This window comes from Homo sapiens, chromosome 5 (assembly GCF_000001405.40).
Source record: "Homo sapiens chromosome 5, GRCh38.p14 Primary Assembly".
NCBI classification, from domain to species: domain Eukaryota; kingdom Metazoa; phylum Chordata; class Mammalia; order Primates; family Hominidae; genus Homo; species Homo sapiens.
The window spans coordinates 58,460,385-58,472,114 of NC_000005.10; the positions used below are offsets into that span (position 1 = coordinate 58,460,385).

At 38.3% G+C, this 11,730-nt stretch overlaps 3 annotated features.

Moving 5' to 3' along the window:
* Positions 20-199: a silencer, noted in NCBI's record as "silent region_16033". NCBI's record gives its function as "represses an Ori minimal core promoter by ATAC-STARR-seq in GM12878 lymphoblastoid cells {active_cell/tissue: GM12878}" and the evidence as "EXISTENCE:reporter gene assay evidence [ECO:0000049][PMID:35858748]".
* Positions 6,590-6,639: an enhancer, noted in NCBI's record as "active region_22583". NCBI's record gives its function as "activates an Ori minimal core promoter by ATAC-STARR-seq in GM12878 lymphoblastoid cells {active_cell/tissue: GM12878}" and the evidence as "EXISTENCE:reporter gene assay evidence [ECO:0000049][PMID:35858748]".
* Positions 8,343-8,512: an enhancer, noted in NCBI's record as "experimental_86533 CRE fragment used in MPRA reporter constructs". NCBI's record gives its function as "activates a minimal promoter by MPRAs in K562 erythroleukemia cells, with activity observed for the non-introgressed 5:57764639 variant allele {active_cell/tissue: K562}" and the evidence as "EXISTENCE:reporter gene assay evidence [ECO:0000049][PMID:34662402]".

Sequence of the window (11,730 nt, forward strand, 5' to 3'; positions counted from 1 at the left end):
GACGCCTGGCCTCACCCCCGCCCCAGCCGCCTGGTGGCAGGGCAGTGCCGTGACCCGAGCGAGTCGGGCGCGGGTGTAGACGCAGTCCCTCCCCCGCACAGCCCTTCCCGGCCGCCCGGGGCCTCCTGTGTCAAGGTATCAGGGTGCCCGGAGCCCGCCGCACGGGCAGGCGAGGCCTCCTCCGGCCGTATGACAGGGCTCGTCTGCAGCTGCCCCGCAGTGCCTGCCCGCGCTGTGACGAGCTCGCTGGTGTCTAGCTGGGGCAGTGCCGAGAGGCCGTGGGGGTGAAAGGCCGGGATTCGTGGAGCCGGGCATTCGAGCCCATCGCGCTAGGGCAGACACGGGCCCGCAGCCGGGATCCCGGGCCGATCGGCCAACCGTGCCAGGATCCCACTCGAGGCCCGTCTGGCCCCCGCCCATGCCCCTAGAGCGAGCCTCTGTCTGAGGTCGGCCCCTGAACCTTGCAGAGCGAGGTCGGCGTCCTGGCAAGGCGTCCTCCGCCCGTAGCCCGAAGATTGGAAAGCAAGGGCGCCATCTTGTGGAATGTTCCGGAATGCCGTTAGGTGTCGAAGTGGGCAGCGGTTGACAACCGTGGGCCTTTGACAGTTACTAGTACTAAACATCGATGCCGATTGTGAGTTTCCAATCAGAGTCATCTATGACTTCTTCCGAATGCATCTGTTGAGATGGCTCATGAGCTGCCCTGGTTCCTGGAGAGTCAATCTGAGACTTTCTGGGGTAGGGAGATTGGTAGGATGAAGAGAGGAGCGTAGGCCAGTGAGTGCAAACACAGCTTAGTTTCCCATTTCCAGATTTTGCTGTGCAGTTTGACTAATCTAGGAACACGTTTTTTTGTTTGTTTTTCTTGTTCTAATTACGATAGAGTAACATTTATTGAGGACTGTGCAGTATTTTTAAATGCCTTATTTCATCCTACAACAATTCTGAGAGAAATATTGTAAGGAAGGAAAAATAATTTTCCACCTTTCAAAGTTTTGGCCTGGGTCGCTGTAACCAGACAGATTAACAAGAAAACAAAGAAGCTTATTAACATATACGTCTCATATATACATGGGAGATAACCAGGAAAATTAGAGATGGTTTAAAATCGGGCTTAAATACTATCTTTAGCTAAACCAAAAGAAAAGAGTGGGGCAGGCAAGTTAAGGAATCATGACCAGGAAATGTACGGTAAACAGGAGTGGGGTTTCTTATTTCTTCATTGATAAGTTTTTCATGATTTAGAGTCATTCTTCCTGGTACAGAGGAGACACTTTTACAAATGGAGTTTTGTGGGGTTTTTTTGTTTTTTGTTTTTGTTGTTTTTTTTTTTAGTGAATGTACGTTTCCCTTACGAAAGGGTAATATGCCATTTTTAGAGCATTTCCTGGGTCTGCTGGTTCTCAAAATAATTATCTTAAAATAATCTTTATCCCAGGGCCATATTTGGGGTGGCATATTCTCATCTCCTACATTATTATTCCCATTTTATAGATGAGGCTTGGAGAACTTAGGTAATTATTGTATATTTTTACTAGATCATCGAGGTTAGGTTAATTAGCAGCACACTTGAATCTTTTTACCTATGTTAACAGGATATGGTAAATAGTTTTTTGAAGCTAAATTCCAGAGAAATTTAGAATACCAGATTATTGAATCCCTGGAAGGTACATACAAAAAGTTGCTGCAGTCCACTGTCAAATTTAGGTATGTGTGGTATCAACATTAATCGAACATTTACAAAAATACTGTGTCTCAAATACTTCCAGCATAATGTGGAAAAGAGGCTTATTGCCATTAGAGAGGAGAAAGGGAAAGGCTTTGCCATTAGCGAGGAGAAAGGGAAAGTCTTTGCTGTCACTTCCGTTTTTGATTCTTTAAAGAGTGCAGGGCAAGTCCAGGCATGTTTCTCATAAGTGACAATAGACTTTAACCCCAAGATTGTCAGGGATGGAATAAGGGGTGGGGCTTAGGGGTGGAAATTCAGAATTACGTAATTATCCTCTTTATTCATAAGCCCAGGGGTGACCTTTGCTTCCCAGATTTGTGCAAACCTACTCTCTAAGATGTAGAAGGCTTGCAGGTTTAGAAAATATTACTAGAATTTATCAAAGCTAGTTTACACACCATGTCTTTATGGTTGATAATAAACTGTATATGTATACATATGTGTGTATGTGTATGTGTATTCATTTGTGGCCTAAGATAAAAAACTGAAGAATAGATTGTCATGATTTTTTTTTAAATGTCAATTTCTTCTTTGATTAGCATACACTATGGTATGTATCTTTACCAAATGGACTTCAGTATTTGATAAACTGTTGAACATTCCATGTGAAATTCAGGTCTGTCTGCCACAACATGGAGGCATTTAATAAAATATTAACGCTGTGTAAATCTTATGTTGTCTTCTTTCCGACTGAGAACATGATTTTTTTGGGGTTGTGGTGCCATCATGTGGACAGAACCAAAATTGTAGTCTATAGAACAAAAAAGGAAATAAATGCGCTTTCTATTAAGTAGACTAATTACTAAATATCATGGAGTCAATTTGGTAACCAGTAGGAAGGAAAAAATGGATCCATGCTTCATATCTGGCTTATTTTCAAGCAAATGAAAGTTTGAAATACGTGAAATTTTAAGACAATATGAAAGAATTCTTTCATAGCCTGAATGTGGTAGAACTTTCAACTATTTACAAAATCTAGAATCCCTAAAAAAAAAAAAAAAGCAAGATTCATTAATGTAACTATATAGAAACAAAACCCTTTCATTGATTTAAAATAACAAAACACCACAAATAAAGTCAAAGGATAAATAACACTGGAAAAATTATTTTCAACTCATCACAGAGAAAGAGCTTATCTTCCTGTTATATAAAAACTCCTACAATTGGATAAAATACCAATTATCCAACAGAAAACAAATGGTTCTTACATTTGCTCAATTTCACTCTTCAGAAGAGAAATTGAAATGAAAGATATACTGAGGCACCCTTTCCTACAAAATTGGCAAAACCCTCAAAAGTTGCCGTGAACATGCTCAACTGCTGAAGTGTTGAGGAAGCAGCACTCCATATATTGCTGTTGGGAATGGAAATTGATATAATTTCAGTGAAAAGTAATTTGGCCAAATCTATCAAATTTAGAAATGAATGTATTCTCTTACTTAGGAATTTATCCTATGGATATAATCTCATATATAAAATGATGCATGACACATCAACAAATGATAAAAACCCTGGCCAAATTAAGCCCAATTCTTACATTTGTCAATAAGTTTTTATTTAAAAGAACCGTGCCCATTTGCCGGGATCTAATTAAACTAAAGAGCTTCTGCACAGCAAAAGAAACTATCGTCAGAGTGAACAGGCAGCCTACAGAATGGGAGAAAATTTTTGCAATCTATCCATCTTACAAAGGGCTAATATCCATCATCTACAAAGAACTTAAACAAATTTACAAGAAAAAAAACAACCCCATCAGAAAGTGGGCAAATGATATGAACAGACACTTCTCAAAAGAAAACATTTATGCTATCAACAAACATGAAGAAAAGCTCATCATCACTGGTCATTAGAGAAATGCAAATCAAAACCACAGTGAGATACATCTCACGCCAGTTAAAATGGCGATCATTGAGAAGTCAGGAAACAACGAATGCTGGAGAGGATGTGGAGAAATAGGAACGCTTTTACATTGTTGGTGGGAGTGTAAATTAGTTCAATTGTGGAAGACAGTGTGGCCATTCCTCAAGGATCTAGAACCAGAAATACCATTTGACCCAGCAATTCCATTACTGAGTGTATACCCAAAGGATTATAAATCATTCTACTATAATGACACATGCACATGTATGTTTATTGCAGCACTGTTCACAGTAGCAAAGACTTGGAGCTGACCCAAATGCCCATGAATGATAGATTGGATAAAGAAAATGTGGCACATATACACCATGGAATACTGTGCAGCCATAAAAAAGGATAAGTTGATGTTCTTTGCAGGGACATGGATGAAGCTGGAAACCATCATTCTCAGCAAACTAACACAGGAACAGAAAACCAAACACTGCATGTTCTCATTCATAAGTGGGCATTAAACAATGAGAACATATGGACACAAGGAGGGGAACATCACACACTGGGGCCTATCAGGAGGTGGGGGCCTAGAGGAGGGATAGCATTAGGAGAAATACCTAATGTAGATGACGGGTTGATGGATTCAGCAAACCACCAAGGCACGTGTATACCTATGTAACAAACCTGCACATTCTGCACATGTATCCCAGAACTTAAAGTATAATAAAAAAATTTTTTTTAAAAAGACTACACATTGGGTACAGTGTACACTGCTTGAGTGATGGGTACAGCGAAATCTCAGAAATCACCACTAAAGGACTTAATGTAACCAAATACCACTTGTTCACCAAAAACCTATTAAAAGAAAAAATAATAATTTTCAAAAAACAACCATGCCCATTTGCTTATGTAGATATATTGTCTATGGCTGCTTTCATGCTACAATGGCAGAGTTCAGCTGTGACAGAGACCAAATGGCCTGCAATGCCTAAAATATTTGCTACCTAGCCCTTTACAGAAACAGTTTGCTGACCCCTCATGTATAAGGTTATTCACTGCAGTGTTGCTTGTAATAATTAAAGATTAGAAACAACCTAAGTGGCCATCAATAGAAAACTGGTTAAATGATGATGTGTTCATGCCGTGAAAATGTAGGCAGTTGTAAAAACAAAATGAAGAAGCTTTTTAAGTATTGATATGAAAAAAATCTCCAAAATAGGCCGGGCGCGGTGGCTCAACAACTTGGGAGGCTGAGGCAGGCCGATCATCTGAGGTCAGGAGTTCTAGACCAGCCTGGCCAACATGGTGAAACCCCGTCTCTACTAAAATTACAAAAATTAGCCAGGTGTGGTGGTAGGTGCCTGTAATCCCAGCTAATCAGGAGGCTGAGGCAAGAGAATCGCTTGACATTAGGAGATATACCTAATGTAAATGACCAGTTAATGGGTGCAGCACACCAACACGGCACATGTATACATATGTAACAAACCTGCATGTTGTGCACATGTACCCTAGAACGTAAAGTACAATAAATATATATACAAAAAAAAAAAAAGAGAAACGCTTGAACCCGGGAGGCGGAAGTTGCAGTGAGCCGAGATCACACCATTGCACTCCAGCCTGGGGGACAAGAGTGAGACTTCGCCTCAAAACACACACACACACACACACACACAAATCTCCAAAATAAATACTGTGGAAAGCAAGTATAGGATAGTGTATGGTATAGTAAAATATGTTTCCTTGGAATAAAAAATGAGGGGAAAATAACATATTTTTATAGCCTTAATTATGCATAAAGCATAAACTTTTGGGAAGGATTAATAGCAAACTAATAATAATAGGTTTTCTTCTGTTTACTTGTTTACATATTTTTGTGAGAAGATTATTTACTTTTCTGATCATTTTTATGTGTTTTAATGTCTGAACCAGAAGAATACATTACTATTTAAAAATACATATAAAAACATTTTTTAAGGATGTGATTTGGCTCATCAAAGAGAACTTTGTGTTCCACTCTCTGTTACATTCTATCATCTCATCAAGGTTTGCAATACACACTTTATACTATAAGTATAGGGTGCAGCGAAAATACTTTATATTGCTTAATTGATTATTACTTTTCTTCCCCACAGGTATGAAAGCTTCATGAGGACAGGTACATTTCTTAGTTTAATGCTATATTCCCCATGCCTTGAATAGTACATGACAGAGTAAAAACTCAATTATTTGTTAGATAGACACATTTATAAATATAAAACTATTGAGAAAACAAGATACCTCTTAGATTTGATCTTGCACAAATTTCTGAAACTCTCTATGTCTCAGTTTCTTCTTCTGTAACAAGAGGATGACAACATTTTATAAGGTTGTTGCTATGGTATGAATGTTTTTGTTCCCACAACATTCATTTGTTGAAATTCTCACCTACATTGTGATGGTATTAAGAGGTGGGTCTTTGGAGGTGATTAGCTCATGGGGTTAGAGCCTTCATAAATGGCATTAATACCTTCATAATAGAGACTGAAGAGATACTCCTTGCCCCTTCCACCATGTGAGACCACAGCAAGAAGGTGCCATCTGTGAGGAAGTTGGCCCTCACCAGATACCAAATCTGCTAGCAACATGATCTTGGATTTCCCAGCTCCTAGAACTGTGAGAAATAAATTTATTGTTTATAAGCCACCTAGTTTTGTGATATTTTGTTATAGCAGCCCAGAGGGGCTAAGACAATTGTTATAATGATTAAACAAGCCAATGCATAGAATGTGCTTAGAACAGTGCCTGTCACATGGTGGGAAATCTATAATGCTAGTTATTATTTAATATTCAGGAGAAAGGAAGGGGCAAGAAGAAAAACTACCAAAGGCAGGAGAGATGGACAAGAAGGAGTTTAACCCAAGGTAGAGTGGAGAGATACTGTTCCCAGCATCTGGTTTACTGAAAGGAATTCAACAAAACTGAACGGAACTGACAGGGAGAAAGAACAACAAATAAGCACTGTTTTTGTTTGCCTTTCTAAAAATTTGCTTTTGACTTGGGGAATTGACAAGAGAGAGACAGTGAGAGGACAAGCACCTAGGAGGCTGTCACCACCAGGCAATGAAGAAGATGACTCAGCTCTGGACCTCGAAAGTGAAGGAAGCTGCCTCCTAGCTGCTGTGAGGGAAGGGGAGGGGCTGGTGTGCTACTCTCAGTCTCTGCCTGGGAGGCCACAATGGTACAGGCTTCGAGTGAGCCTTAAAGAACATGTGGCCATGAGTATGTGCCTGTGAGTGGTTGTGTGAATAGGACGTATGAGAGGAAAATAAATCTTGGGGCCCCAAAATTACTACGCCAAATGGAAATGTCAAGCTGGGAACTGCTTCAGGCAAGCCTGCCTCCCATTTTACTCCTAAATAAGATAGCTACAGAGATTAAAGAAAAAAAAAAAAGAAGCTACATACCTCCCTCACAATTGGCCCACTAGGAAATTCCTTGTGAGCCCCAAGATCTTTACCTTAAAACAGTTTTGTTGAATTTTACCCTGACAGTGTAAATTGATAGTTTATCTTCAGAGGTGCAGGACAGAAAGTTACCTCTCTGCTCACCTGAGACAAATGCATATCTGATTGCTGATGTAAAAAATGTAGATTCACTGAGCTAGACAAGGCATAAGTGACTCTTCCTCTACCTCCCTTTCACATGTAAATTGTATATTCAGTGAAAGGCTGATCAATGACTCAAAAGAATGCAACCGTTTGTCTCTTATCTACCCACAACTCTTAAAAGTTTATTCCCCTTTCCCTGATGTCCACCCTTTCTCCTTTAAATATTAAAGCCCTCAAAATCATCTTTGAAGAAAGGTACAGACCTGCCTCCCAGTTGCATGTCCTTAATCTTGGCAAAATAAACTTTCTAAATTGATTAAGACCTGCTTCAGATACTTTTTGGTTTTATAGACATGATCTGCTGTACGTGGGAAACCCAAATGCACTCTGGCCAAACAGTGTTCCCCTCTTCCTTCCATACCCAACTGAGTCTTTGGGACTTCAGGACTACAAAGACCAAACAGATATGTGGAAAAGGGATGGCATTCTGAGGATGGCAGTGACTTGGACTTGGCAGAGATTGAAAGAATGGGCTGCTGGTCTCTTCACAGTAATAATAAAGCTGAGCTGCAATGACAAGAAGGCAGCAGAGAGGCTTTAAAAAAAATTCTGAAAATTATTAAAATGCATAGGAAAGTTGAAAGAAGGGTGCAGTGAATATTCATATATCCACCTCCAAAGTCAACAATTCTCTCTCCTCATTTAAACTTATGTTACAAACATCATAACATGTTATTCCTAAATACTTCAGCATGCATCTCTTAAAAAAGGAGATTTTCATGTAACGATAATACCTTTTACACACCTTGTATTAATAAAATAAACAATAATTCCTAAATATCTAATACCTAGTTCATATTCACATTTTCCCACTTGTTCCTAAAGTCCATTTTATAACTGATTTGTTCAAAGAGCCAATGAAGGACCCTAGACTGCATTCTGCTATGACTCCTAACTCAATCTGCAAGAGTCACTACTCCCTGCTTTTGACTTTTCAAAGAGACCAGGCCAGATACCTTGCAAAATGTTCATTTTCTGGATTTGTTTTATTGCTTTCTGTTGGTTTAATTTAATGTATTGTTTTGTATTCTGTATGTCTTTTAAACTTTTAGTTAGAAATGCAGACTGATTTAGATTTGGGTTAAGCACGTTTTAGTAAGTATATGTCATAGAGAACGCTCCATAATTCCCACAATATCCCATCAGGAGATATATAGTGTCTTACTATTCCTGAGAGTCAATTTGATTACAGTATTAGGAAGGTGGCAGCCCAGTCTCACCACTGTAGATGTGCAGTGCCTCCCTTGTTATTGGCAGATAATATGTGAGCTAATGTGGGAAAATGTTTCCATTGGCCATTCATCAGATGACTTGATCCCATGTTGATAATTCTTAATGGAATCAGTTATTTCATTTGTGGTTGCAAAATGGTGACTTTCTGATACTGTCCATTTATTACTTAGTATTCTTCAATAAAAGTATTTCCTCAGCAACTGAGGCTGTTTTATTACCCTGCACTACAAACAGAATAAATGTTTAATTCACTCTTTTTAATTACCAATTTTTCAAATAAAGATTGGTATGATAGTAATATCCAATGTGGGCAAAAACTTTTTGTTTTCACATTTACTGCTTTTTTAATATCATTTGTGGCTTCATGGACTTTTATACTTTTCAAGTGTTTTAATAAACTCTATTCGCTATTTTTTAGTCTAGGCCCATTCAGACAACAGAAATAGGAAGTACATTTTTTATTTTTTTATTTTTAATTTTTGTGGGTACATACTAGGTACCCATATTAATAGGGTACATAATATATTTTGGTACAGGGCATGCAATGTGTAATAATCATATCATGGAAAATGGGGTATCCATCCCCTCAAGCATTTATCCTTTGCATTACAAGCAATCCAATTATGCACTTTTAGTTATTTTTAAATGTACAATTAAATTATTATTGGCTATAGTCCCTTTTTATGCTATCAAATACTAAAATGCTAGGTCTTATTCATTCTTCCTATTTTTTTTGTTCCCATTTACCATCCCCACCTTCCCCCCCGACCCCCTGTATCCCCCCACTACCCTTCGTAGCCTCTGGCAACCATCATTCTATTCTTTATCTCCATGAGTTCAATGAGTTTGATTTTTAGATCCCACAAATAAGTGAGAACATGTGACGTTTGTCTTTCTGTGCTTGGTTTATTTCACTTAACATAATGACCTCCAGTTCCATCTATGTTGTTGCAAATGACAGAATCTCATTCTTTTTTATGGCGGAATAGTACTCCATTGTTTATAAGTATCACATTTTATTTATCCATTCAGCTATTGATGGACACCTAGGTTGCTTCCAAATCTTGGCTGCTGTGAGCAGTGCTTTAACAAGAGAATGCAGATATCTCTTTGATATATTGATTTCGTTTTGGGGAGGTATATACCTAAAGTGAGATTGCCAAATCATATGATAGCTGTATTTTTAGTTTTTTGAGGAACCTCCAAACCATTCTCCATAGTGGTTGTGCTAATTTACATTCTTGCCCACAGTGTATAAGACTTCCTTTTTCTCCGCATCCTTGGCAACATTTGTTACTGTCTGTCTTTTAGATATTTGCCATATAAATGGGTGAGATAGTTTTGATTTGCATTTCTCTTGGTAGTTTTGATTTGCATTTCTCTGTTGACCAATGATGTTAAGTACCTTTTCATATGCCTGTTTGCCATTTGTACATCTTCTTCTGAGAAATGTCTATTGAAATATTTAGCCCATTTTTTAATTGGATTACTAGAGTTTCCTGTGGAGTTATTTGAGCTCCTTCTATATTCTGGTTATTAATCCCTTGTCAGATGGGTAGTTTGCAAACATTTTCTCCCATTCTGTGGGTTGCTCTTCACTTTGTTGATTGTTTCCTTTGCTGTGCAGAGGCTTTTCAACCTGATGTGATCCTATTTGTCCATTTTTTGTTTGGTTGCCTGTACTTGCGGAGTGTCACTCAAGAAATTTTTGCCCAGACAAATGTCCTGCAGATTTTCTCCAATGTTTTCTTTTTTCTCTCTTTTTTTTTTTTTTTTTTTTTTTTGAGACGAAGTCTCACTCTGTCACCCAGGCTGGAGTGCAAGGACCCCGATCTCGGCTCATTGTAACCTCCACCTCCTGGGTTCAAGTGATTCTCCTGCCACAGCCTCCTGAGTAGCTAGGATTACAGGTGCCTGCCACCACGCCCAGCCAATTTTTGTATTTTTAGTAGAGACAGGGTTTCACCATGTTGGTCAGGTTGGTCTCGAACTCCTGACCTTGTGATCTGTCTGCCTCGGTCTCCCAAAATGCTGAAATTACAGGCGTGAGCCACCACTCCCAGCTGCAATGTTTTCTTACAGTAGTTTCATAGTTTAAGGTCTTAGATTAAGTCTCTAGCCCATTTTGATTTGATTTTTGTGTAAAGTGAGAAATAGGGATCAAGTCTCATTCTTGTACATATGGATACCCAGTTTTCCCAGTACCATTTGTTGAAGACACTGTCTTTTTCCTAATATATGTTCTTGGCACCTTTGCCTAAAATGAGTTCACTGTAGGTGTGTGGATTTGTTTCTGGGTGTTCTATTCTGTTCCATTGGTCATTGTGTCTGTTCTTATGCCAGTACCATGCTGTTTTAGTTTCTATAGCTCTGTAGGAGGTACATTTTTTAAAATCAGGGTTTAAATTGGTATTTATTGGTTCAAATTTGGCTTATAGAATTTTATTTAATTCTTTTGAATTTTTTTACTATCTCTTAAAATGAATAATAATAGTGACCATCATTTATTTGCTTTATCTATATACCATACACAAACCGATTTCAAAATAACAATACCAATATCATTATTAACAATAAAACTATTGAATTTAAAGCCCTTTCTGTCCTTAGACTATATAGCTTTACAAGAGTTTTCAGAAAGAATACTATTTTCTAGATTCATCTAATTATTTCCTCTATATGATTATGTTAGATTTTGATATATAGTGTCTTCTTTTAATATTTTCAATTTTATGGATTTTTTGGAACATGTAAAATATTTACATACTCAAGTCAAAATTGCATAAAAGTATACTCCAATAAGCCTGGCTTTCATTTCTGGTCACTTAATCCTATTTATGTCCCCACCCCCACTCCTAAACAGTAAGTACTTTCATTAGTTTCTGGTCTACCTTCCAGTGTTTGTTTGTGTTTGTTGTTGTTGTTGTTGTTGTTGTTTTCTGCAAACATAAGCAGATCCACCACTCTACCTCTGCCTATTTACTTACCAGTATGCATGTATATTATACTTACATAAATATACTTTTATTTCTCCTTATTTCTCCTCCTTTCTCACACACAAGATAACATATCTATTAGTCTCTCTGCATCTTCCTGAGGCTCATTCTTGAATCACTCAGAAGTTATTCAGAGACAGAAGGGCCTGTTAAAAGACTGGGATTTTGCCCTTGTGTTAGTTCACTTGGACTACTGTAATAAGATATACAGATTGGGTAACTTATAAACAATAGAAATTTACTTCTGGGACAGTCGCGGTGGCTCATGCCTGTA